The sequence below is a fragment of the Homo sapiens genome, chromosome 14 (assembly GCF_000001405.40).
Source record: "Homo sapiens chromosome 14, GRCh38.p14 Primary Assembly".
In the NCBI taxonomy this organism is placed as follows: domain Eukaryota; kingdom Metazoa; phylum Chordata; class Mammalia; order Primates; family Hominidae; genus Homo; species Homo sapiens.
This window is the reverse complement of record NC_000014.9, coordinates 65,386,418-65,412,624: the sequence shown is the minus strand read 5'-3', so window position 1 is coordinate 65,412,624 and position 26,207 is coordinate 65,386,418. Positions and strand designations below refer to the sequence as shown.

Genomic DNA, 26,207 nt, shown 5'->3' with positions numbered 1-26,207 from the left:
CCCTTCCTCGCTGCGCCGGTGGAGAGCGTAGCAGCAGCATCCACCGCCTAGCAGAGCCGCGGGCCACAGCGGGACGGCACAGTTCCAGCAGGGCAGCGGCTGCGCACGCCGGCTCCGGCTCGCACACAGGCGTAGGCCGCCCTCTACCGCCTGAAGGCCGGAGGCTGAGCGGGGCGCGAGCGGATCCTGGATCCCGGGAGGAGACTCGCCTCCAGAGAATGCTGTGCTCCCTACAGCGCCGGGAATGGACCGGCCCGTGCCAGCTCAGTCGGCGGCCCTAGGGGGCACCCGCACTAGAGGTTTTGAAGCTGGCTCCTTGCTACTTTTAGGGGTGCGCGCTGCTGCTGCTCAGCCCCTGCAGCCCGCATTTGGCCGCTTGACTGCTGCTTCCAGCGCGATCCTACAATGGCATCGCTCCCCCAGGAGACTCAGCGAAGCCCTACTTTATCTTGTAAGAGCTGTTTCCACATTCACTCGAAGAGAAAGACCCCCCCCACGAGGGCCTGAGTTCGATGCCCGGCCTCTCCCGACCCGCGGCTGCGACAGCCCCTCTGAGGCGGAAGTTTATTTAGTACGGGAAAGAGAACAGCACGGGGAGAGGGGAGAGGCTTTGCCCTAGGATGCGTCCTACCCGCTCGGACTCGGAAAATTCCCGGCGCCCGCGATGCAGAGCAGTGGACCGAAGGGCTGCCCCAGAGCAGCCCAGACCGCCAGCTGAGCGGGAGGACCGGAGCGCGCCGCCCCAGCACACAAAGTAGTCGCGGGACGAGGGGTGCCGCCGAGGCCAATCAGAGCTGCGCGCCGCGTGAGTGGAGTGCGAGCCGGCCAATCAGAGGGCCGGAAGATGAGCTTCCCGTTCCAAACTCTTCCCTGTAGCCTTGGGACCCAGATCCCAAGCCTGGGGCGCTTTACGGTGGGAGAGCGAAATGGTGCCCTTAAGACAAGAATCATTTCTCTAGGCTTGGGCATTTTAAAGTACATACCGGGGATACTTATCCCAAAGCAAGTAGCGGCGGCCTTTTAGATGTTAAATATTAAAAGATCACAGAAAGGAGATTTAAGAGGCAGTGGCCTGTCAAGGTTGCAATCTGCCTAATATTCATAAATTCACATATTTATTGAGACCTTCTTATGTACCAGGAACTCTATCACAGATACACAAATAAGGTACTGCTGATTCAAAAGAAAATCCCTTGTCCTCAAGCAGCTCAGGTTGTGAGGGAGGCTTTCCTAGACCTTGAGACTCGTATTTATTGTCAGCTCTTTAAACAAAAAGCACTCTATGAAGTGCTGTACTTTACAGTCGTTTTTATGATTATCTCCCTGTGAGAAAAGAAAATTGAAAGGAAAGTAGAGTGACTTGTCCAAGATCACACAGAAGATGTACTAGCAGAGCCAGAATTATGTTCTAGCTCAGTTTGGGTGTCATCATTCAATAAAATAATTCAATAACAATTTGTAAATGCATGGATGCTCTCTCCCATGAGATTTCTGTACTAAACGTATAAGCAGGACAAAATTCTGGTATAAAAGTGACACACTTTGGTTGTTGGAAATGAACACAAATTTTAGACTTATGTGGGATTAAAGGTAAAAATCTTACCAGTCATACTTTAGATAATTTTTAGAAGTCAGAGGTGGGGTGGATATTTACTTCTTAGTTTAAACACAGCATTTTAAAAATATTTTAACAAGCAAGCGTAACTTTTTTTTTTTAAGATAGAAGAAGCAGGAAGGATCACTTAAGCCCAAGAGTTCCAGGCTGCAGTGCCACATCGTGCCTGTCAGTAGCCACTTCAGCCTGGGCAACATAGCAAGACCCTCATGTCTAAAATTAAAAATAAAATTTAAAAAAAAGAACTACTTCTAGTTGGTTAATAATCATGATAGTTTACACTGTATAATACTTTGAGATACCCAAGTACAAAGCTTTACATTTGCCTAAAAATTCCATTTTTGTCTGGTGTTCCATTTTTACTTCCAAAATCCTAGGAATTAAAGCACTTATTTTCCCTACCTCCTTCCAACTGAAAAAAAAAAAAAAAAAAACCTGTCCTAGGAATGTTTTGCCCAGGATTTGGTGCATTTGTATAGAACAGTATAATATACGTTAAAATAACAAATAACTTTGGTATCTCTTGAATACACTCAGAAACTAATTCTTCAGTGGTTTTGAAGTCTGCTTTGTTGAATCAATGTGCTTCTCCACCTGTGATGGAACATTATTATCAAAACCCTTTCCAAGGCAGGCTCAGGATTTAGCTGCCATCCCAAAACTGGAGGTCTCTGTCAAACAACTGATATTTGAGAACAAGTCTTTACACATTAAGTTCCAAGCCAATCATGAATTTCCAGGAAATTCACTTATGAAAGGGAATTTTATACCCTGCCTCTTCTCAGTGTGGATAACAGTCCCAGCTTTTAAAAAATACATTTATTTTACTCTCTCCAGACAAGAAAATTCCTAGAACTCAGTCGTTCTCTTGCCAGGTTAAATTCTGAGAGAGAAGGAATCCCCCAAAAGGTTCTAAACATCACTGGCCATCAGAAAGTATCTGTGTCAAAAGCATTTTTCCACAAGCTGCAGGTCCCACCCTGTTGCTGCGCTCTCTCATTCTCTTCTCCCAACTGCTTGCCTCTGCTGCTCATCACTGCCAGTTTGTAATAGTTGCTTAAGTAAGTACAGGTACTCCACCTCTTACTCCACCCCTCCCTCACCAAACTAGGTTTTGGACCCATCTTTGCTTATCCCAAAAGTTAAAGACAAGTTCTGTTCAACAAAAGATTAGACAGAACAATCGTTATGATCTGTTATACAACAAGTAACAGGGCCTTGTCAGTGCATTGTTTTCTTGTATATAGCCTCGGTCAAATTCTTAACCATCAGCTAGAGCTATGGGGACTCGGGTGTCCCGGGGCAAGAAGGAGTCAACCCTTAGACTATGGAAAAGATCAAAATGAAAGTTAAAGTGAGTACATGAGTGGCCATTTTATTGAGAGATTAGCTAGATCAAAGTTAATGAACGTGAATGCTATCACATTTCCTAAGTTGTGAACATTCATGTAGAAACTGGTTTGAAATTTACTACCATTTTATTATGACTGTAATAAAAATAATAGCCAAAGTGTAATAGTGCTGAGCACCAGGCCTCATGCAAAACTCTTTACCTCCACCATTTAATTCTCAAATCAAACCTTTGAGGTGGATCCTGTTATTACGGTGGGGAGATCTGTGGAGTTCCAGCAAGGGGTTGAGGCACTCAGAAGGCTTAGCATAAGCTACTTACCAAATAGTTTAGAAATTTTTCTATCTCTACCAACGTGTACCAACTGACTGTCAGCCATGGAAGCATTCTGAATAATTGTTAATTGTTCTCGTTGTTTTATAATTGTTGCTCTAGCTACATTTCACTTACAGGATCCGATTTTCCAGGAAGTCATCCAAAGGGCAGCATTGTTATTGCCAAGAGCAAGAAGGGGTGACCTTGAGATAATCATTTTACCCATCTGGGCCTCAGTTTTCTCATTTGTAAAATAAAAGGGTTGGACTAGGTAAGTTTTAGTTGTTCGTCAGTTCTAAAACTATAAATCTAGCCAACTTGACACACCATTGACAATAACTACAAAAATGAAATATAGGGAAAAAAAGTCTATATTTTCATTTTTATTTTTTAGAGACAAGGTCGCAGAATGTTGCCAAGGCTCGTCTTGAACTCCTGGCCTCAAGCTGTACTCTTGCCTCAGCCTCCTGAGTAGCTAAGAATCTATATTTTCAAATTCAATGTGTTTTAAGTCACTTTTGAGCCAGCTCCTTAAACAAACTCTATACCTACTCATTAAAAAGCCAGAGCAAATCTTTCCCATTACAAGAGTAAATGAAGTGATTGATTTAAAGACTGATGAAACTAGCCAGACTATCCCTCCCTATGACTTGCCTCCATGGCTGAAATTTCTGTCTTCTCCACTGGGATAAAGCAGCATATAGTTCACACTATTGATTTCTAATTGAACATTCACTCCCGTCCTTCCTTATTAATAGGGCTGTTTATTTTTGTTTTCATCTGCCAATTCTTTAGGTAACCACCCAAAACTCCAACTACAGAAAGGCAACTCAATTAGCCAATAAATGGGTTCCCTAATATGGTAGGAGATTTATCATGCTTACTCTCTCTTTCCAGACATACAAAAAGATTATATTTTTCCACACCCACCCCCAGATACCCTCCTCCCCTTGCAGTTGGGCTGGACCATGTGACTGACTAGCTATAGCCACCAGTCTGTAGTGGGTTGTGGGCAGAAGTGGTATGTGTCAATTCCAGGTAGAACAGTTCATGGCCAGCGTAAGTCCTTACAGTGTTTACTCTTCTCCAGACTCAAGACCAGTATTATCTTGAAAGTATCGGTAAAGCCTCTCTCGGCTTAACTTCCAAAAAAAAGGACAAGGTAGAGCAGCCTGCCTCCCATTTTCATCTGGTTTTAATAAGAAATACACCTTTGTAGTTTAAGCCACTGAGATTTGGGGGCATTTTTCAATGCAGTATGACCTAGCATCTAGGTTATGCTAGACTAGAATATGCTAGAATTAGAATAGTCCTAGACTATTCTAATTGATACACTTGAAAACCATTAGGACCAGGATAAACTGGCCCAATCAGACTGAAGGAAAGGATTTTCAGTCCATATCTGGGGGAAGGAGTTCTCTCTTTCCTGCCAGATATGAGCAAGTCAACCTGTAACCCAGATTGCCATTGGCAGCAATCTTGCAAGAGGAACTAACCTGAAAATGAAGTCAACCTACTGGCGATGGCAGACAGATAGAAAACCCTTGCAGATTTGATTGAGCTGTGGTCATACCACTCCTGAAAACTATTCTTTCCTGGACTATTAATTCTACAAAATAATAATTATGTTTGTTTGTTCCCACCATAACACTGTAAGCAAAAACTCTATCTTGTATATCTTTAATTTCATCTCAGTTCCTAACACAGATATGTCTCAAGAAGCACTAAAACGTATTGGATATAGCCAGCAATTATGGCTCATACCTTCACCTCAACATTTTGGGAAGCCAAGGTGGGAGGATCACTTGAGGCCAGGAGTTCAAGACCAGGCTGGGCAACCATAGCAAGACCCCTGTCTCTATTTTTTTAAATATATTGGATACATTAAAAACATTTTAATGTAATAGATCATACTCTTGCCTTCAGAAAAAAAAGTATTATCTGTATTAACAAGGAGAGAGAGTAATTTGATTCAATCCAATCTTCTTACAGATGAAGAGATTAAAACCTTGTAAGACATTACAAGGTTTATCAAGCTCATATAGCTTTGGTATGGCAAAATTGAAGTAGGGAAATAGCTAATAATTTCTTCATCAAAATTGACCATAGTTTCCAACTTAGGATAGAGAAGTATTGAGCCAGTATATTACTCTCAGACTTACTAGCTTTTTTGTAACCACATCACACCAATCTGGTTCAACTTTTATGTAACAAAGTTGTGAGTTGTTTTTCAGTTACCAATGGCCCCCCAGTTTGAAGGTCACCTAACCTGAACATGCCCAGATGAACCGAGTCTGCAACTACAGCGGGAACCTAAGTGCTCTGACTGAGGAGTGAGGACTGAATTAAGAAGGGGACACCACATTGTAGGATCCAGGATCTAATCGTATCAAGCTTGGCATCACCCCATGGCAGGATCCAATCAAATCATACCTCCCAGCATCACCTCATTGCAAGATCCAATCAGATCACATCTCATGACTTTATGCTTATAAAACCTGGCCCAGGCCAGGCGCTGTGGCTCACACCTATAATCCCAGCACTTTGGGAGGCCGATGTGGGCAGATTACTTGAGGACAGGAGTTCAAGACCAGCCTGGCCAACATGGTGAAACTCTGTCTCTACTAAAAAAATACAAAAATTAGCTGGGCGTGGTAGTGGGCACCTTTAATCTCAGCTACTTGGAAGGCTCAGGCAGGAGAATCATTTGAACCCAGGAGAAGGAGGTTGCAGTGAGCCGAGATTATGCTACTGCACTCCAGCCTGGGCAACAGAGCAAGACTCCATCTCAGAAAGAAAGAGAGAAAGAGAGAGAGCGAGAGACGAAAAGAAAAGAAAAGAAAAAGAAAACAAGCCCTGCACAGGGAGACAGAGTTGAGCATATCTTCCTGTCTCCTTGCGGTTGACTTGCAATAAAGCTTTTATTTTCTCAAAAGCCAGTGCCATGGTATTGGCCATTGGCCTCTATGCACATTAAACAGTGCTCAGTTACAATCTGACCTTGGGCAAGTTACTTAACCTCTCTGAGCTCTGGTTTTTCCATCTATAAGAAGGGATGATGTCCCCTAGCTCATGGGGTTGTATAAAATAAATGACTCAACATACAAAAAGCACTTAGTACAATTCTTGACATATAGTAAATGTTGTATACATTGCAGCCCTATTAAATGATGTTTATTCATAGCTAAACCATTTTTATGCATTAGGATAGATCCTGTTCTCCTTTACCATTCATTTAATTCAGACCATCGACCTGTATTTTATCATCTCATATAATTTTAACGTATACCTATATTAGTGTGTGGCCAGCACCCACCTTTCCTATAGGAACTACTGCTCTCATGCCCACATTTTTATTATGATGGCAGCGAGAGCTGTGTGACCGCTGTCCATTGCCCACACCTAATTGGTCAAGAGGGGGACACCTGACCCAAGATGGGACAATGAACCCATTCCTCCAGAATGTTTATAGATGTGAGAAGAGAGATTATCTCAGGCCTCACCTAGATATAAAATCTGGGAGAAGTCATTAGTCATTTGCCAAGTGGAGAAACTCATTCTGCATTAGAGAATAAAGTCAGTGGAAAGAGGAAGCAGAGAAGACAGAAGTATCCTTATACTGGAATTCTCAGTTCCAGGTTTTGCTGACCAGTAGTTGAATTTCTGCCTTTTCTTCTGCTTAGGCTCCTCTGTTTCTAGGCTTTCCCTGTATCCTTCCAATATTGTTTCCATCTTGCCTAAGCTATTTCCAGGTAGGTTTATTGTAGATGCAATTAATGCAATAATATGCTCTATTATCATAAAGTAAAAAAAATAAGAAGAGGAAAAATTTTTAGATGTATTACTTTTCATTAATGACCTGGATGATACCACTAAGAATATGACCATCAAGTTTATGAAAGTGAATCAACAAATTTTTATAAGATACTAACTATATGTAAGCTCCCAGTAGAAGACACTTCAGATTTACCTTCCTATATCTTTTCTCATTTTTCCATAATCACAAATCCCCATTTCTGGATAGTCCTATTGGAACTCAACTAAAATCTTACTTTTCCTAGTCTCCCCTGCAATGGATGTGGCTGCATGACTAAATTCTGCCTATTGAGATCTAAGCAGAAATATTGTGCAGTGCTTACATTTTTTAAAAAAATCATGAAAATGAAGGAGATGCACCCTTCTTATCGCTTCTCTCCATCCTATTACCTGAGGCATGATGATGTGATGACTGGAGCCCTTTCAGCCATCTTGGACCATGAGGAGGATAGCTGTACCCTGGGAATAACATAATAGTGACTGGGAGGGAGCTGGCTCCTTGACAACTTTGTCAAGCCTCCACGCCAATCCTGGATTGCTCATTTCCAAAATTATTTTGTGTAAGCTGCTGTTTTATTTAAGCCACTATTATCTAGGTTTTACTGTTATATGCCACTAATTCTGATACTATTGATACAATAATACCATTGCAGTTTAATAAATTCTGATACTATTGATACAATACCATTGCAATTTAATAAACTATATTGAGTTAGGCTGGATCAATAAGGCTGTATAAAAAGGAGCAAGGCCGGCGCCGGGTGCAGCAGCTCACGCCTGTAATCCCAGCACTTGGGGAGGCTGAGGCAGGCAGATCACGAGGTCAAGAGATCGAGACCATCTTGACCAACATGGTGAAACCCCGTCTCTACTAAAATACAAAAAATTAGCTGGGTGTGGTGGCACATGCCTGTAATCCCAGCTACTTGGGAGGCTGAGGCAGGGGAATTGCTTGACCCGGGAGGCAGAGGTTGCAGTGAGCTGAGATTGCGCCACTGCACTCCAGCCTGGCGACAGAGCAAGACTCTGTCTCAAAAAGAAAAAAAAAAGAAACAACGCTGGGTGCAGTGGCTCACACCTGTAATCCCAGCACTTTGGGAGGCCGAGGTGGGTGAATCACAAGGTCAGGAGTTCGAGACCAGCCTGGCCAAGATGGCAAAACCCCATCTCTACTAAAAATACAAAAAAATTAGCTGGGCGCTATGGTGGGCGCCTGTAATCCCACCTACTCAGGAGGCTGAGACAGGAGAATCATTTGAACTCAGGAGGCAGAGGTTGCAGTGAGCCGAGATCACACCACTGCACTCCAGCCTGGACAACAGAGTGAGACTCTGTCTCAAAGAAAAACAAACAAACAAATCTGGCCCCGCACAGTGGCTCACACCTGTAATCCCAGCACTTTGGGAGGCTAAGGCGGGTGGATCACCTGAGGTCAGGAGTTCGAGACCAGCCTGACCAACATCGTGAAACCCTGTCTCTACTAGCGCCTGTAATCCCAGCTACTCAAGAGGTTGAGGCAGGAGAATCACTTGAACCCGGGAGGTGGAGGTTGCACTGAGCCGAGATCATGCCATTGCACTCCAGCCTGGGCAAGAAGAGCAAAACTCCATCTCAAAAAAAAAGAAAAGAAAAAGAAACAAATCTAGAAAGGCTCTTGAAAGAACTATTACAGAAACAAGTACATATTATTATATTTTAAAAATTAAAAATCCAAAAATAGACAATCTGGGGAAGGATGGGTAGGAGCAAGGTCATAAGGAAAAATTGCAGCCAAAAAAAAAAAAAAAAATTAACCACTATCAGTATGATATAAATACTTGCTCCAGCAAGAATAAACCTTGCTAAAGTCACTAAAGTTCCAATGTTCAGCTTTTCAGAGGCAAAAATTCTACCTTATATGTTAACCCAAGGGCAAATTAGAGTCTGATGGGAAAACACTAACTCTAACCAAACTGACAAAAGTCTGAAAAACCAGAGGCCCTCTTGAAAGCAGAGATCCTGCCTATCTGTCTTGATCCCCACCATGTAGCATATTTATTGAATGAGTTAATTAATTTTCATTGCAATATAACTGCCAACAGGATTGAGAAACATAACCTCTGGTTAGTCAGGATCTTCTAGTTTCCATGGGAACAAGGCCATATAAAATCATGGTTCAGAATGTTGATTCTAACTATATTTGAATCCTTGCTCACCAATTAATAGCTGTGAGACCTTGGGAAACTTTAAAACTCTCTGTCTCATTTTTTCATATCTGTAAAGTAGGAATAATAATAGTATCTACATCATAGGGTTGTTGTTAGTATTAAATAAGTTATTACATATAATACTCCTAAGAACAGAGCCTGACACTGAATAAGTACACCATAAATATTAGCCATTTATGGCTCTACAAAAATCCTAAACTAAAGCAAGCCTTTGCAGACCCTATAATTATCTGATCTAAATCCAAAATCAAGATAACATGAAAACAGAATCTAAGGAAGCAGAAGAAAGAAGTGATTGACAAGATTTCCTAGACCAAAGTCTGAATGTCATTTCAGTTCTGCAGTACATGCTATAACACAACTGTTGGTATTTAAAGCAAGGACTAAAGGTTCTAAAAACAACTCCCTATAAATTGTGCTGGTGTGATTTACAAGTAGACTTATAAACCTACATAGATAGAGGTCAAGTGGGGTTAACTTGTATTTATTTCAAGACTGATCATTTAGTTTAAAATATACTCCAGGCGGGCACAGTGGCTCACACCTAAAATCCCAGCACTTTAAGAGGCTGAGGCAGGAGATTGTTTGAGCCCAGGAGTTGGAGACCAGCATAGGCAACATGGCAAGAACCCCATCTCTACAATTTTTTTTGCTTTAGACGGAGTCTCACTCTGTCACCCAGGCTGGAGTGCAGTGGCGCGATCTCGGCTCACTGCAAGCCGCCTCCCTAGTTCATGCCATTCTCCTGCCTCAGCCTCCCAAGTAGCTGCGATTACAGGCGCCTGCCACCACGCCCAGCTAATTTTTTGTATTTTTAGTAGAGACGGGGTTTCACCGTGTTAGCCAAGATGGTCTCGATCTCCTGACCTTGTGATCCACCCGCCTCGGCCTCCCAAAGTGCTGGGATTACAGGTGTGAGCCACCACGCCCAGCCCCAGATTTTTTTTTTTTAATTAGCTGGGCATGATGGTGCATGCCTGTGGTCCTAGCTACTTTGTAGGCTGAGGTGGGAGGATAACTTGAGCCCAAGGTTGAGGCTGCAGAGAGCTGTGTTCATGCACAGCATTCCAGCCTGTGGGACAGAACAAGACCCATTCTCAAAAAAAAAAAAAAAAAAAAAAAAATCACACTCCATCTTTTGGGCTCCTACACTCACATATCAAAGGGCTGAGAAGACTATGCAACTTACTTGAGCTCTTTAAAGTGCAAGGACCCAGGAATCACTCAGTTTACTTCAAAGAAAGAGGGGCTTGTTTAAAAACACAAGAACTGAGACTTACCCCAGAGCTGAAACACTGTCGGATACTGAGGCACCTAAAAAGCTGCGCCTCCATGTCTCTCACGTTTCCGCATTCCCCATGGCATTCCTTTTCCTGCTCTTCTCTCACTACCAACTCAATCCCTTTTTTTTTTTTTTTTTTTTTTAGACAGGGTCTCACTCTGTCACCCAGGCTGGAGGGAGTGCAGTGGCACAATCTTGGCTCACTGCAACCTCTGTCTCCCGAGTTCAAGTGATTCTTATGCCTCAACCTCCCCAGTAGCTGGGATTACAGGTGTACACCACCACAAATTTTTTTGTATTTTTAGTAGAGATGGGGTTTCATCATGTTGGCCAGACTGGTCTCGAACTCCTGGCCTCAAGTGATCTGCCCACCTTGGCCTTCCAAAGTGTTGGGATTACAGGTGTGAGCCACCATGCCCAGCCTTTTTATTCTTTATTCTACCTTTTGGTTACTGCTCCCTTATAATTTTGGATCCCTTATAATTTCATCTTCCTTACGGCATAGATACTATCTTAACTTGCAAATTCTCAGTTTCCTATTACACATTCTCCAGAGAAGGAAGTCTTGTTAGGCCCGCATATCTCTTTCTTCCAAGCCATGTCATAGGTCTTCTGGCCTTGAATCAGGTGTTACTTTGGTCCAAACTACTTCAAGGTGGTGGTGGCTACCCCTTCAGCAAGGGCTATGGACATGGGTGTAGCAAACACAGGAACTGGCTGACATCTTTGGTACCCTGCTATACTTTTTTCCCTTGCTTTCTCCTTCAATTTTCTGCAATTCTCCTAATCTCTCCAATATTCACTCATAGATCTTACCATTCCCTCCTTCTATTCCCAGTACTTAGCAATTCAGTTCAGCGTCAGTCCTCATATTGGTTTTTGCAAATTCCCCCGTGTGTTGTTTCCAATAATTGTTGGATTTGGTTCTGTTTATGAAGTCAAGTGGGCTTTTGGAGCTCATCTTTACACCATGTAGCTTCTCACCAACTGACTCAGCCTCCCTTACATTGGTCTGGTAAAAGGTGGGCTCAGGAGAAGTTATGAGTTATATAAGTGCAACCCTCATGGCTTCTTTTAAAAATAGCAAAAAGGTGAAAGCGGTATGATAATGGTACAAAACTGTCTTCATATAAGAAAGACAGCCCTTTTTTTTTGAGACAGGGTCTCCCACTGTTGCCCAGGCTGGAGTGCAGTGGCACGATCCTGGCTCACTGCAGCCTCAACCTCCCAGGCTCAAGCAGTCCTCTCACCTGAGCCTTCCAAGTGGCTGGAACCACAGGTGCACACCACCAAGCCTGGCTAATTTTTAATTTTTTGTAGAGACAGCGTCTCTCTATGTTGCCCAGGCTGGTCTTGAACTCCTAGGCTCAAGCAATCCTCCCTCCCAAACCTCCCAAAGTGCTGGGATTATAGGTGTGAGCCACCACACCCAGCCTTAAGACAGCCATTTGGAAAGCTAATCTCCAGAGTAGGTTTATCAAAAGCTAATGCTATCATGTGTTGAAGTAAAGAGTTTATATAAATAATGGCAACAGAAGTCGTATACCCCTGAACCAACAGGGAAGACTAACAGGGAATTAACAGGGAAATATAGAGGAGTATATGGATATTTGATGGACACTAATGTCTCTGCCACTTGTGGTACATGACATACACACCCATATGAGGTATAGCTCTGGATAACAACTTAAGAAATATCAAGAATAATGGAATGGATGGCAGAAGGCAAATTTCAAAAATTTTGAAGAACTTGATGATTGGGTAAAAAAGTAACTAAAGATTAATGAGATTTGGGGCACGGTTGAATAGTTATTTGATACCATTGATATAGTTTATGGTTGACTGGATGCCACATGAAGGGTATGAAAACAAAAGAAAAAGAAAAATAGTTTATGCTTGTGATAACTGCATTTAGAATTCAGGTCTTCCAATCCTAAACCCAATGTTCTATTCACTCTTTCAGGTTCCATATTTCATGTACAAAATAGCAAAATATATTTTTAAAAATTCTGGAATCAGATGGGTTGACCATGATATCCCCAGTGTCTAGAACAGTGCTTGGCCTGTGGGAAATGTTCAATGAACAGTTATTGAATAAGTGGATGAGTGAATGAATGAATGAAGAAAGTAGATTTTATTACAACAGACTAAATGAAAGAAGTTTTGTCTTTACATGTTATTAGATCTTGCAAATGGTTTCCAATGAAGTTTTAATAGCTTTTAAAATAGCTGTTTTTAAAATATCATAGGAAACCTTATACAAGCTTATGTCCCCATTCCTAAATAATAGAAGAAATCTAATTAACTTTTTCCTTCCTTGGCCTTATTTTAAAGATGAAGAATATTCTTACCCTAATAAAATAATCCATGCAGTCCTTTTACCTTTAATATTCCATGTCCCTCTAACACAAAACTATGCGTGATTAACTTTCCTCTGCAACTTACAAGGAATGCATTTGCCAGCTCCTACCATGTAACTATGCCTGTGATGACCATATTTTTTTCACCAAATGGCAAGTGATCCAACAACTAAGTCTAATATTAAAAATCTGGATTTTCATGAAAGTCTAAGACCTATGAACATTCATGGCCTTGGATTTCAAGTGTCCTGGGCTGTTTGTCAGGGCTGATGTTCACCAACATGGCAAAATTCTCATTGGTCAGTGGTCTGTTTTGATTGTCTGAGCCTATGCAATACTATTCAAAAAATATCTTTTTTTTTTAGATGGAGTCTCGCTCTATCGCCCTAGCTGGAGTGCAGTGGCGCGATCGCGGCTCACTGCAACCTCCGCCTCTTGGGTTCAAGCGATTCTCCTGCCTTAGCCTCCTGAGTAGCTGGGATTACAGGCATGTGTCATCATGCCTGGCTAATTTTTGTATTTTTACTAGAGACGGGGTTTCACCACATTGGCCAGGCTGGTCTCAAACTCCTGACCTCGTGATCCACCCACTTTGGCCTCCCAAAATGCTGGGATTACAGGCGTGAGCCACCGTTCCCGGCTCAAAAAATGTCTTTATCCTCCATGAGCTTAACTTAGTAACAGAGAGGCTAACTGAAGCTATGATAAATAGGTTTGAACCCAGATAGTTTTGATTTTGTGGTGGGGAAATTTTTATCCTTCCTTGACTGTATCCCAATCACAGCTTACCACTTTGCTCACCAAAAGAACTGGGATAAATTCTACATTCATCACAGTAAATCTAGAACTCTAGTGTCACATGCAGATGAAACAAGAACATTTTTACACGTAGATGCCAACTTGGATGTTTTGTTTGTTTCTTTGTTTTTGTTTCTTTGTTTTTTTTTTTTGAGATGGAGTCTGCTCTGTCACCCAGGCTGGAGTGCAGTGATGCGATCTCAGCTTACTGCAAGCTCCTGGGTTCAAGCAATTCTCCTGCCTCAGCTTCCCAAGTAGCTGGGACTATAGGCACACATCACCACACCCAGCTAATTTTTTTGTATTTTTAGTAAAGATGGGGTTTTGCCATGTTGGCCAGAATCGTCTTGATCTCTTGACCTTGTGATCCACCCGCCTCGGCCTCCCAAAGTGCTGGGATTACAGGCATGGGCCACCATGCCTGGCCCTAAAAAAATTTTTTTTAATAGGCAGAGTGTTGGCAGTGTCTTGGTCTTCTAATAAATAAATAAATAAGTAATTTTTTTAATAAGCAGAGTGTTGGTACTGTCTTGGTCTTCTAATAAACAAATAAACAAATACATAAAATTAGCAGGGTGTGGTGACACACACCACTTGGGAGGCTGAGACAGGAAGCTCACCTAACCCCAGAGGTCAAGGCTGCAGTGAGCTATGATTGTGCCACTATACTCCAGCCTGGACAACAGAATGAGACCCTGTCTCAAAATAAATAAATAAATATAATGTCTGGAGGTCCTTCTGTATTTGTGACTCAATTTTCCATATGTACAGTTCTAGAAAAACTAAATTGCTAGACATGGATGCTCATTAAATCTCTACAGTGATGTGTATAAGAGAAAGGATATTACACTTTTATTACAGTCAAAATGAAAATTGAATAAACAGCAGCAAGTCCTTACTTAAGGCATCAATAGGCTTTTGGGAACTGCAACTTTAAGCAAAATGCCATATAAGGAAACCAATTGTACCACAGGCTAATTGATATAAACAAGAGTTAAGTTCCTATGGCCTATTTCTGGTCACGAAAAATCACCAAACTTCTAAATAAAGACCAAAACACTTCTAATATTTAACACTGAAATAAATGTGAGCTATACATACATTTAAGAAGAATTAATAAAAACAAGGAAGATAATTATTTACCCATTTATTCCAGTTCAGGATCACAGGTGGCTGGAGCCTGTCCCAGCAGCTCAGGGGTCAAGGCAGGACCCAGCCCTGAACAGTATGCTGTCCCATCACAGGGCAGGCGTGCACGTGTGCACACACACACGCACAGACACACTCAGACTGGAACAGTGTAGACATGGCAATCCACCTAATGTGCACATCTTTGGGATATAGGTGGAAACCAGAGTACCCAGAGAAAACCCACACTGACATGGGGAAAATATGCAAACTCTGCAGACAGTGGCCCCTGGTTGTGTTGGAAAATTTTTTTCTCATCATCATTATAATGAAATGAGATTGAACCACATGACATTATTCAAGGACCTGCTGTACACCAGATTTCCCCTAATATTCTTATAATCCTCTCAAACTACTAGAATCATCCTCTAGTGCTTTCTAGCCATAGAACATTACAAGTTACTGTGCTCCTTTATATTTCCAAGCCACCATGGTAGTCAAGTTCACACCACACTCTAGCCAATAAAATGTGGGCAGAAGTGATGTGAGTCACTTCCAAGCCTGGTCTTAAGTGCCCCTTCAAGAACTTCCAGCTCTTTCTTCCTCTGCCTTGGTGATCTTAGACGCTACATATTCCAATCATCCCACTATAAGATAGAGGTGGCCTAGATCCCTAATTATCCACTATGAGGAGAGCAACCCTATAGGCATTGGACTGTGACATGAGCAAGAAATAAATCTTAGCCAGGCCTGGTGGCATGGGCCTGTAGTACCAGCTACTCAGGAGGCTGAGGTGGGAGGATCATTTGAGTCAAAGAGTTCAAGGCTGCAGTGAGCTATGATCACGCCTATAAACAGCCACTGCACTCCAGCCTGGGCAAACTAGCAAGACTCCATCTCTTAAAATAACTCAAACTAAAACTAAATAAATATTTATTGCATTAAGCCACTAATGTTAATTAATATTAGAGGATAATGGGGAACTAAAATCCAGCCCCTGATTTAGTCACCAAACCACGTGTCTTGGCATAGTCTTGCCAAACTGAGTGCCCTAGGCTGCATCCTCCCAGCCATTTCTAATTTACACACAGATGCTGATATAGTCTGGCTGTGTCCCAACCCAAATCTCATCTTGAACTGTAGCTCCCATAATTCCCATGTGTTGTGGGAAGGACCATTGTGAGATAATTGAATCATGAAGGTGGTTTCCCCTGTACTGTTCTTGTGGTAGTGAAGAAGTCTCATGAGATCTGATGGTTTTATAAGGGGAAACCCCGTTTTGTTTGGCTCTCATTCTGTCTTGCCTGCTTCCATATAAGACATGCCTTTCACCTTCTGCCATGATTGTGAGGCCTCCCCAGCCACATGGACCTGTGAGTCCATTAAACCTCTTTGTCTTTATAAATTACCCAGTCTCAGGTATGTCTTTGTTAACAGGATGAGAACAGACTAATACAGTAAGTTGGTACCAAGAGTGGGGTGCGGCTATAAAGATAACTGAAAATGTGGAAGTGACTTTGGAACTGGGTAACAGGCAGAGGTTGGAACAGTTTGGAGGGCTCAGAAGAAGACGAAAATGTGGGAAAGTCTGGAACTTCCTAGAGACTTGTTGAATGTCTGTGACCAAAATGCTGATAGTGATGTGGATAATGAAATCCAGGCTGAGGTGGTCTCAGATGGAGATGAGGAACTTGTGGGGACTGAAGTAAAGATGACTCTTGCTGGGTTTTGGCAAAGATATGGATGACATTTTGCCCCTGCCCTAGAGACTTGTGGAACTTTGAACTTGAGGAAGATGATTTAGGGTACTTGGCAGAAGAAATTTCTAAGCAGCAAAGCATTCAAGAGATACTTTGGTGATGTTAAAAGCATCCAGTTTTAAAAGGGAAACAGAGCATAAAAGTTCGGAAAATTTGCAGCCTGACAATGTGATAGAAAAGAAAAACCCATTTTCTGGGGAGAAATTCAAGCTGGCTGCAGAAATTTGCATAAGTAACCAGGAGCCAAATGTTAATGCCTCCAGGGCATGTCAGAGCCATCTGTGGCAGCCCCTCCCATCACAGGCCCAGAGGCCTAGGAGGGAAAAATGGTTTCATGGCCTGGACCCAGGGACCCCTTGCTGTGTGCAGCCTAGGAACTTGGTGTCCTGCATCCCAGCCACTCTAGCTATGGTTAAAAGGGGACAAGGTATGGCTCGGGCCATGGCTTCAGAGGGTGCAAGCCCCAACCCTTGGCAGCTTCCACATTGTATTGAGCCTGCAGATACACAGAAATCAAGAATTGAGGTTTGGGAACTTCCACCTAGATTTTAGAGGATGTATGGAAGTGTGTGGATGTCCAGGCAGAAGTTTGCTGCAGGGGAGGGGCCCACATGGAGAACCTCTGCTAGGGCAGTGCAGAAGGGAAATGTGGGGTTGAAGCCCCCACACAGAGTTCCAACTGGGGCACTGCCTAGTGGAGCTGTGACAAGAGGGCCACTATCCTCCAGATCCCAGAACGGTAGATCCAGCAACAGCTTGTACCATGTGCCTGGAAAAGCCACAGACACTCAATACCAGCCTATGAAAGCAGCTAGGAGGGAGGCTGTACCATGCAAAGCCATAGAGGCAGAGCTGCCCAAGACCGTGGGAGCCTACCTCTTGCATCAGCATGACCTGGATGTGAGATATGGAGTCAAAGGAGATCATTTTGAAGCCTTAAGGTTTGACTGTAGCTGGGCGTGGTGGCTCACGCCTGTAATCCCAGCACTCTGGGAGGCTGAGGCAGGTGGATCATGAGGTCAGGCATTCAAGGCCAGCCTGGACAAAATACTGAAACCCCATCTCTACTAAAAATACAAAAATTAGTCTGGCATAGTGGCACATGCCTGTAGTCCGCTACTCAGGAGGCTGAGGCAGAAGAATCGCTTGAACCTGGGAGGCAGAGGTTGTGGTGAGCTAAGATCATGCCGCTGCACTCTGGGCAACAGAGCAAGACTCCGTCTCAAAAAAAAAAAAAAAAAAGATTTGACTGCCCTGCTGGATTTTGGACTTGCATGGGGCCTTTAGCCCCTTTGTTTTGGCCAATTTTTCCCATTTGGAATGGGTGTAGTTATCCAATGCCTGTAACTTATTGTATCTAGGAAGTAACTAACTTGCTTCTGATTTTATAGGCTCATAGGTGGAAGGGACTTGCCTTGTCTCAAATGAGACTTTGAACTGTAAACTTTTGAGTTAATGCTGAAATGAGTTAAGACTTTGGGGGACTGTTGGGAAGGCATGATTGGTTTTGAAATAGGAGGACATGAGATTTGGAAGGAGCCAGGGGCAGAATGATTGGGTTTGGCTGTGCCCCCACCCAAATCTCATCTTGAATTGTAGCTCCCATAATTCCCATGTGTTGTGAGAGGGACCTGGTGAGAGATAATTGAATCATAGTGGTGGTTTCCCCCATACTATTCTCATGGTAGTGAATAAGTCTCATGAGATCTGATGGTTTTATAAGGGGAAACCCCAGGCCAGGCACAGTGGCTCATGCCTGTAATCCCAGCACTTTGGGAGGCCAAGGTGGGCAGATCACCTGAGGCTGGGAGTTCAATACTAGCCTGACCAACATAGAGAAACCTTGTCTCTACTAAAAATACAAAAAAATTAGCCAGGCATGGTGGTGCATGCGTGTAATCCCAGCTACGTGGGAGGCTGAGGCAGGAGAATCACTTGAACCCAGGAGGTGGAGGTTTTGGTTATCCAAGATTGCGCCATTGCACTTCAGCCTGGACAACAAGAGCAAAACTCCGTCTAAAATAATAATAATAATGATAAGGGGAAACCCCCTTTCACTTGGCTCTCACTCTGTCTTGCCTGCTGCCATGTAAGACATGCCTTTTGCCTTCTGCCATGATTGTAAGGCCTCCCCAGCCACATGGAACTGTGAGTCCATTAAATCTCTCTTTCTTTATAAATTATCTAGTCTCAGGTATGTCTTTATTAGCAGTGTGAGAACAGACTAATACAGATGCCACACGGACTAGAAGTAGCCCTGACTAGTCCCCCTCCCACATGATCACTCTGTCTCCACTGATATTTCCCCTTTATAATCCCACTATAAAGAGATGCCAGATTCTAAAGCAAGCTCTGCTAAGGCCATTTCCTGCTCAGAAACCCTGAGAAAGGCTCCGTGGCTTCATGGATTAACACTCAAATCTTTAACATGGTCTCCAAAATCCTCCACAATTCATTGAAAAAAATCCACCTATGCAGCCCACTCACTATCTTTGTCTTCTCATACCTGTGTTCTCCAGCTCTGGAATCTAGCTGGCATGAGGCGAAGAGCTCCCTCAGCCTGACTCCACATAGCAGATGCACCCCATCTCACATCCTCCTAGTCTACAGAATCTCTATCAATCACTTACTCCACAATTTCCACAGCACAGAATCTCTTTGGGTCCTTCTGCTTTCTTGGGCCACCCTTCCCTTTAGTATTGGCATTAAAGGGCTAAATTTCCATCCTATATATTATAAAGCCACCTCCATCTAGGTTATCTGGGGGCAAAATGGAGGCATGTCTCACAGTTGTTTCTCAGTTAGTTCACTTACACCTGTTCTTCCACCCTGGCTCTGCAGCATAGCAAGAACTCTCAGCTGTGTTCTCACCCCTAGTCGCATCCTACTTGTGTGGAGGGTGTCAGTAGCACCCACCTTATCACAAAGGAACCAAAAGGCAAGGAAAGACAGCAACAATACATCCACTCCTAGTCTGTAGCCGCTAACATTGCCAGATAAAATACAGATGCTCATTAAATTTGACTTTCAAATAAACAGCGAATCATTTTTCAGTACGCCCCAGGTATCGCCTGGGACATACTTATGCTAAAAAATCATTTGTTGTTTTCTAAAACTCAGATTTAACTGGGTGTTCTGCATTTTTATTGGCTAAATCTGGCAACACTAACAGTGGGCCCCTTTTTGTTAAATTCTTAATCTTTTGCTCAGATTAGAGGAAGAAGCAGGACGCTTCCAGCCAATGCGTAATCCACCAAAAACACTGCCATTTTAAGTAACATTTTTCTCCTTGAACAGTAATGTTTTCGCTCCTATTATTCATGTATTATAGTGATTTCTACACAATAATAAGCCTCTCATGTGACAAAACAAACTTCATGAAGTCAGGAATCTTATTCTTCGTATTCTTTCATTGGCTGGCTGGATCTTGGAGGCATTTTTCATGAACTGACTACCTACTTGCTGCACTGGTATTTCAGGAAGTCAAAACCGGCAACAGCACCAGAAATTTTAAAGCAGATAAGAGTCAAAAGAAAATACCTTGGGCATAGCAATTTTCTGACTTGCATAATGAGCCACGGATTTTATAATTGTGGCCTTGCACATATGTTTCCAAATATTTCTCCATATCTTCCAGGGAATACTTAGCTGGGTTTTACCTGAGGGGTATCAGACACTCAAAGGAACACAGGTTATGTCTAGAAGTCCTTCTTTTAAGTTAGCTTGCCAGAGGAGTAATTCTGCCCTCTAACAAAAAAGTTAGCCGGGCGCGGTGGCTCATGCCTGTAATCCCAGCACTTTGGGAGGCCGAGGCAGGCGGATCACCTGAGGTCGGGAGTTTGAGACCAGCCTGACCAACATTGAGAAACCCCAACTCTGCTAAAAATACAAAATTAGTCAGGCGTGGTGGCACATGCCTGTAATCCCAGCTACTTGGAAGGCTGAGGCCAGAGAATCACTTGAACATGGGAGGTGGAGGTTGCAGTGAGCTGAGATCGTACCATTGCACTCCAGCCTGGCCAACAAGAGCAAAACTCCATCTCAAAACAAAACAAAACAAAACACTTAGCTGGCCAGACACAGTGTCTCACACCTGTAATTCCAGCACTTTGGGAGGCTGAGGCGGGTGGATCACTTGAGGTCAGGAGTTCGAGACCAGCCTGACCAACATGGTGAAACCCCATCTCTACTAAAAATACAAAATTAGCCAGGTACAGTGGCTCATGCCTGTAATCCCAGCACTTTGGGAGGCTGAGGCGGGTGGATCACTTGAGGTCAGGAGTTCGAGACCAGCCTGACCAACATGGTGAAACCCCATCTCTACTAAAAATACAAAATTAGCCAGGTACAGTGGCTCATGCCTGTAATCCCAGCACTTTGGGAAGCCAAGGCGGGTGGATCACGAGGTCAGGAGTTCGAGACCAGCTTGGCCAATATGGTGAAACCCCGTCTCTCCTAAAAACACAAAAAATAGCTGAGTTTGGTGGCATTTGCCTGTAGTCCCTGCTACTCTTGAGGCTGAGGCAGGAGAATCGCTTGAACCTGGGGGGCAGAGGTTTCAGTGACCCAAGATCACACCATTGCACTGCAGCCTGGGCAACAAGAGTGAAATTCCGTCTCAAAAAAAACAAAAAAGTTAGCATCTCCACTGGGTGGGTGTAATTTTATTCTCTTTCAAACAGCTACATCATCTGTAGAATATGAAAGTAGCAAACTGGCCAAAAGTTAACATCTTGTAAATCACACAGCCTCACTGTCCAGCTCTCATACCCTGTGATTTCTTGGTAGCCCCTCTGGAAGCCAGAAATATGGGGGGTTAGATTATAAAGATTAATTAAATAGTATAAAAATGTACACAGGACCATAGGATACAAATGGTCTTGTTCTTTCCCTCATGTTCCAGATGCCAGTAGGTATCAGTAGGTATCACTAGCATGATAATTATTTCCACAAAGAATAGGAAATTAGGCCGGGCGCAGTGGCTCATGCCTGTAACCCCAGCACTTTGGGAGGCCAAGGCAGGCCGATCAAGAGGTCAGGAGATCGAGACCATCCTGGCTAACACGGTGAAACCCTGTCTCTACTAAAAATACAAAAAATTAGCCAGGTGCTAATGTGGCGTGTGCCTGTAGTCCCAGCTACTCAAGAGGCTGAGGCAGGAGAATCGTTTGAACCCAGAAGGCGGAGGTTGCTGTGAGCCGAGATGGCGCCACTGCACTCCAGCCAGGGTGACATAGCGAGACTCCATCTCAAAAAAAAAAAAAAAAGAATAGGAAATTAATCGTAGACTTGGTGGTGTCCTGTACTTTCCTGGGGTGATAGTAGTAAAAGTGGGTGTGGTTTGCCTCCTTTAAATACATCATCTAGTCTAGAGATGTGGAAATTTCCTCAAACTGATATGTAGTAATATAATAACCCTTTTAGAAAACCTGAATTACTTCATTGAAAAAAGTCAATTTATGTATATCTAGTAGCTGCATTTTTTGAAAACTAGACAACATGCACATGATAAAAAATTCAAAAGTTATGTAAAAAGGCATAAAAGGAAAAGTGAACCTCTCTTCTACACTATCCCCTAGTCCCCCTTCCCTGAAGCACCAGTGTCACCAATTTGTTTATCCTTCTAGATGTATTATCTTACTTACAAGCATGTATTTTTTTTTTTTTTTTTGAGACGAAGTCTCGCTTTGTCGCCAGGCTGGAGTGCAGTGGCACAATCTCAGCTCAATGCAACCTCCACCACCCGGGTTCAAGCCATTACAAGTGCAAGCCACTGTACCTGACATACTGTATATATACATATATATATAAATATTATTTTTTATTTTTATTTTTTATTTTCTTTTTGAGACAGGGTCTCATTCTGTCACCCAGGCTGAAGTGCAGTGGTGTGTGTGATCGTGGCTTCCTGCAGCCTAAACCTCCCTGGGCTCAAGCGATCCTCCCACCTCAGCCTCCCAAGTAGCTGGGATTACAAGCGTGTACCAACAGGCCCAGCTAATTTTTGTATTTTTAGTAGAGACGGGGTTTCACCATGTTGGCCAGGATGGTCTCGATCTCCTGACCTCATGATCCGCCCACCTCAGCCTCCCAATTGTACTTATATATTGCCTTTAAACATATTTTTATATATAGTATGTATATACTATTATGCATGTTTCTTTTTCCTTTTTAAATCTTTTTTATTATAAAATTATTATATAAATTAAAGAGAACAAAACTGTATACAGTATGCCATGGCTGGGCATGGTAGCTCACACCTGTAATCCCGGCACTTTGGAAGGCTGAGGTGGGCAGATCACATGAGCTCAGGATTTCGAGACAAGCCTAGGCAATAAGGCAAAAACCCCACCTCTACTAAAAATATAAAAATTAGCCAGGGCTGGGCACAGTGGCTCAAGCCTGTCATCCTAGCACTTTGGGAGGCTGAGGTAGGTGGATCAGTTGAGGTCAGGGGTTCAAGACCAGCCTGGCCAATATGGTGAAACCCCATCTCTACTAAAAATACGAAAAATTAGCCGGGCTTGTTGGCAAGTGCCTGTAATCCCAGCTACTTGGGAGGCTGAGGCACTCCAGCTTGGGCAACTGAGTGAGACTCTGACTCAAAAAAAAAAAAATATCAGGGTGTGGTGGCACACTCTTGTGGTCCCAGCTACTTGGGAGGCTGAGGTGGGAGGATCGCTTGAGCCCAGGGAAGTTTAGGCTGCAGGAAGCCACGATCACACACACCACTGCACTTCAGCCTGGGTGACAGAATGAGACCTTGTCTCAAAAAGAAAATAAAAAATAAAAATAAAAAATAATTTTTTTATATATATATGTATATATATAGTATGTCAGGTACAGTGGCTTGCACCTGTAATCCCAGCACTTTGGGAGACCAAGGCAGGAGGATCACTTAAGTCCAAGGCTACAGTGAGCTAGGATCATGCCACTGCACTCCAGCCTGGGTGACAGAGTAAGCCCCTGTCTCAAATATATAAATATGTATGTATTCATTTATATATGCATATATACATTTATATTTTAACATATTCATTTATATATATAAAATGTAGTGATCTTGTTTTTATATTTTAAAAAATTTCACAATTTTTCTTTGAAACTATTCCATATTAACGCATACCACTCAGCTGCACTGTGTTTGCTGCACAATATTCCATTATGTGGATGTACCACTAGCAAATCTGATATTGATGGATTATTTTTTATTTTTTATTTTTTATTTTTGGAGATGGAATCTCACTCTGTCACCCAGGCTGGAGTGCAGTGGCGCGATCTCAGCTCCCTGCAACCTCCGCCTCCTGGGTTCAAGCAATTCTCCTGCCTCAGCCTCCTGAGTAGCTGGGATTACAGGTGCACACCATCACGCCCGGCTAATTTTTTGTATTTTAGCAGAGACGGGGTTTCACTATGTTGCCCAGGCTAGTCTTGAACTCCTGAGCTCAGGCAATCTGCCCGCCTTGGCCTGCCAAAGCGCTAGGATTACAGGCGTGAGCCACCATGCCCGGCCGATATTGATAAATTTTTACTTTTGCTATAGTGGAAGCTTTTTCAATTAGTTTTCCTTATTAGGTAAATGGATCCATGTGCCACTAAGATAGTCAACAGATATGCACTGAACACTTACTACATATCTAATACAGTTTGCTTAGGCCCAATAATGCAACAAAGAATATTCCTATATATTTCCTCATCTTCAGATTATTTGGTCATTTTTCATGTGTGTACTGTAGGATTGGTATTGTCCATTTCAAGTTTTTAACTAAAGACTCCTTCTTTATCTATTAAAACACAAATCTTCCCTCCTAAATTTGCTCGACTATGGCAAAATGGGAGTTCCATACTGCTGAAACTTTATCACTTTGGGAAGATACAACAGTTTCTCTATAAAGATACTCCTGTGCTTACTTATAAAATCACAGAATTTAAGAGGCAGAGAAGAACTTTATAATATATAGACCAACCTCTTCATCTTATAAATAAGACAGTAAGGCTAAGAAGAAGATAAATAACTGGGCCATGATCATACTCTGGCTTCTTTTTCTGACACAAAATTGGTTAAACATACCTCCTCATCCCCTATTTAAAAACCAAAAGTGCGACTTCTACTTGTGGTCATGATGGAATAACATGGGCCTGATTTACTGTGTACCTTAAGCAACTGAAAATGAGATAAAATATACAAAACAGTTTTCAGATGTTGGACAACATGCAACATGAGACAATGATCTTTGAAAGAAGAAAAACAAATCAGGTGAACCTATAATTGCCCCAGCTCACTGCCTGGAAAGATTCCAGGCTACAGCACAGGCAAGAGAAACCCCAACAAAGCCTGGCAGATATTCTGAATTGAACAGATGAAGTTGAGAATTCAGAGAGGCGGAGTCCTGAATTTACAGGCACTCAACAACTGTTGATAACTGTGCCTGTTACCATTTTGAATTCGTAGGGTAGATTACCAGATAGGAGACAGCTGCACAAAAAGAGCTAGTTCTAGAGTTGTGCAGGGGCTTCCTCTTGAGTCTTCAGCTGCGTATCTGTCAGCACACATGTGTGAGGAAACTACCTTTGACCAGGGAAAGAGACACCTGAATGGAGCGGTTACTGGCAATCACGCAGGAATGGAAATAGCTCACATTCCCCGAATGGAAAAACTTGGCGATATGTGGAGCATCAGGTTGAGGATTCAGAAAGGTGAGGCCAAATTAGCCTTAGACTAAAAGTTGCTCTGCACTTGCCTATCAAAGTTTACATGCAAGCCTCAGAAGGCTCAAACTGTTTCCAAGTCACTTAAATTTAAGTGTCAAAATACTTAAAGGATATTTAAATATTTAACTCAAAAATATTTAGCCGGGCATGGTGGCTCATGTCTGTGATCCCAGCACTTTGGAAGGCCAAGGCAGGCGGATCACCTTAGGTCAGAAGTTCAAGACCAGCCTGACCAACATGGTGAAACCCTGTCTCTACTAAAAATACAAAAATTAGCCGGGCGTGATGGTAGGCGCCTGTAATCCCAGCTACTGGGGAGGCTGAGGTGGGAGAATCACTTGAACCCAGGAGGCAGAGGTTGCAGTAAGCTGAGATCGCACCACTGCACTCCAGCCTGGGCAACAGAGTGAGACTCTGTCTCAAAAAAAAAAAAAAAAAAAAAATTAAAGGAAGACAAACACAAATAAACAAAAATTCAGCATCCAACAATGTGAAATTCACAATACGGAATACAAGAAAAAATTACCAGGCATATAAAGAATCAGAAAAATATAATCCATAATGAGGAAAAAAATAAATTAATCAATAGAAACATATCCAGATATGATACAGGTAATAAATAAAATTGGTAGACAAAGACATTGAAACAGCAATCATAACTATGTTCCATATGTTCCAGAAAGTAGAGGAAGGCATGAGCATGTTAAGAAAAGATATTAAAAAACGAAGACCCAAGTTGAACTTCCCTTTCTTTTTTTTTTTTTTTTTTTTTTTTTTGAGACGAGGTCTCACTCTGTGGCCCAGGCTGGAGGGTAGTGGCGCAATCGCAGCTAACTGCAGCCTCTGCCTCCCTGGGCTCAGAG

At 42.7% G+C, this 26,207-nt stretch overlaps 1 protein-coding gene and 1 long non-coding RNA gene across 11 annotated transcripts in view, besides 1 other annotated feature; one reads left to right on the top strand and one right to left on the bottom strand.

The window, feature by feature from the left end:
• The window catches only part of FUT8 (fucosyltransferase 8), a 387,280-nt gene that overhangs the window by 331,497 nt on the left and 29,576 nt on the right, over positions 1 to 26,207 (bottom strand). For 6 of the 10 annotated variants that reach the window (NR_038167.1, XM_047431177.1, XM_047431181.1 and 3 more), the window contains exon 1: positions 632 to 2,033. The exons of 1 other annotated variant lie outside the window; for it this stretch is intronic. The gene's annotated coding sequence lies outside the window, so the exon portion shown is untranslated. Of the gene's footprint in view, positions 1 to 631; positions 2,034 to 26,207 lie in introns of those variants that run through there. 3 more of the 10 variants (NM_001371534.1, NM_001371536.1, NM_178155.3) reach the window with 1 other exon arrangement.
• FUT8-AS1 (FUT8 antisense RNA 1) lies at positions 8 to 2,033 on the top strand. Its single transcript, NR_024334.1, has one exon. It is a non-coding gene; the product is annotated as an FUT8 antisense RNA 1 (long non-coding RNA).
• Positions 397 to 716: an enhancer, noted in NCBI's record as "active region_8563". NCBI's record gives its function as "activates an Ori minimal core promoter by ATAC-STARR-seq in GM12878 lymphoblastoid cells {active_cell/tissue: GM12878}" and the evidence as "EXISTENCE:reporter gene assay evidence [ECO:0000049][PMID:35858748]".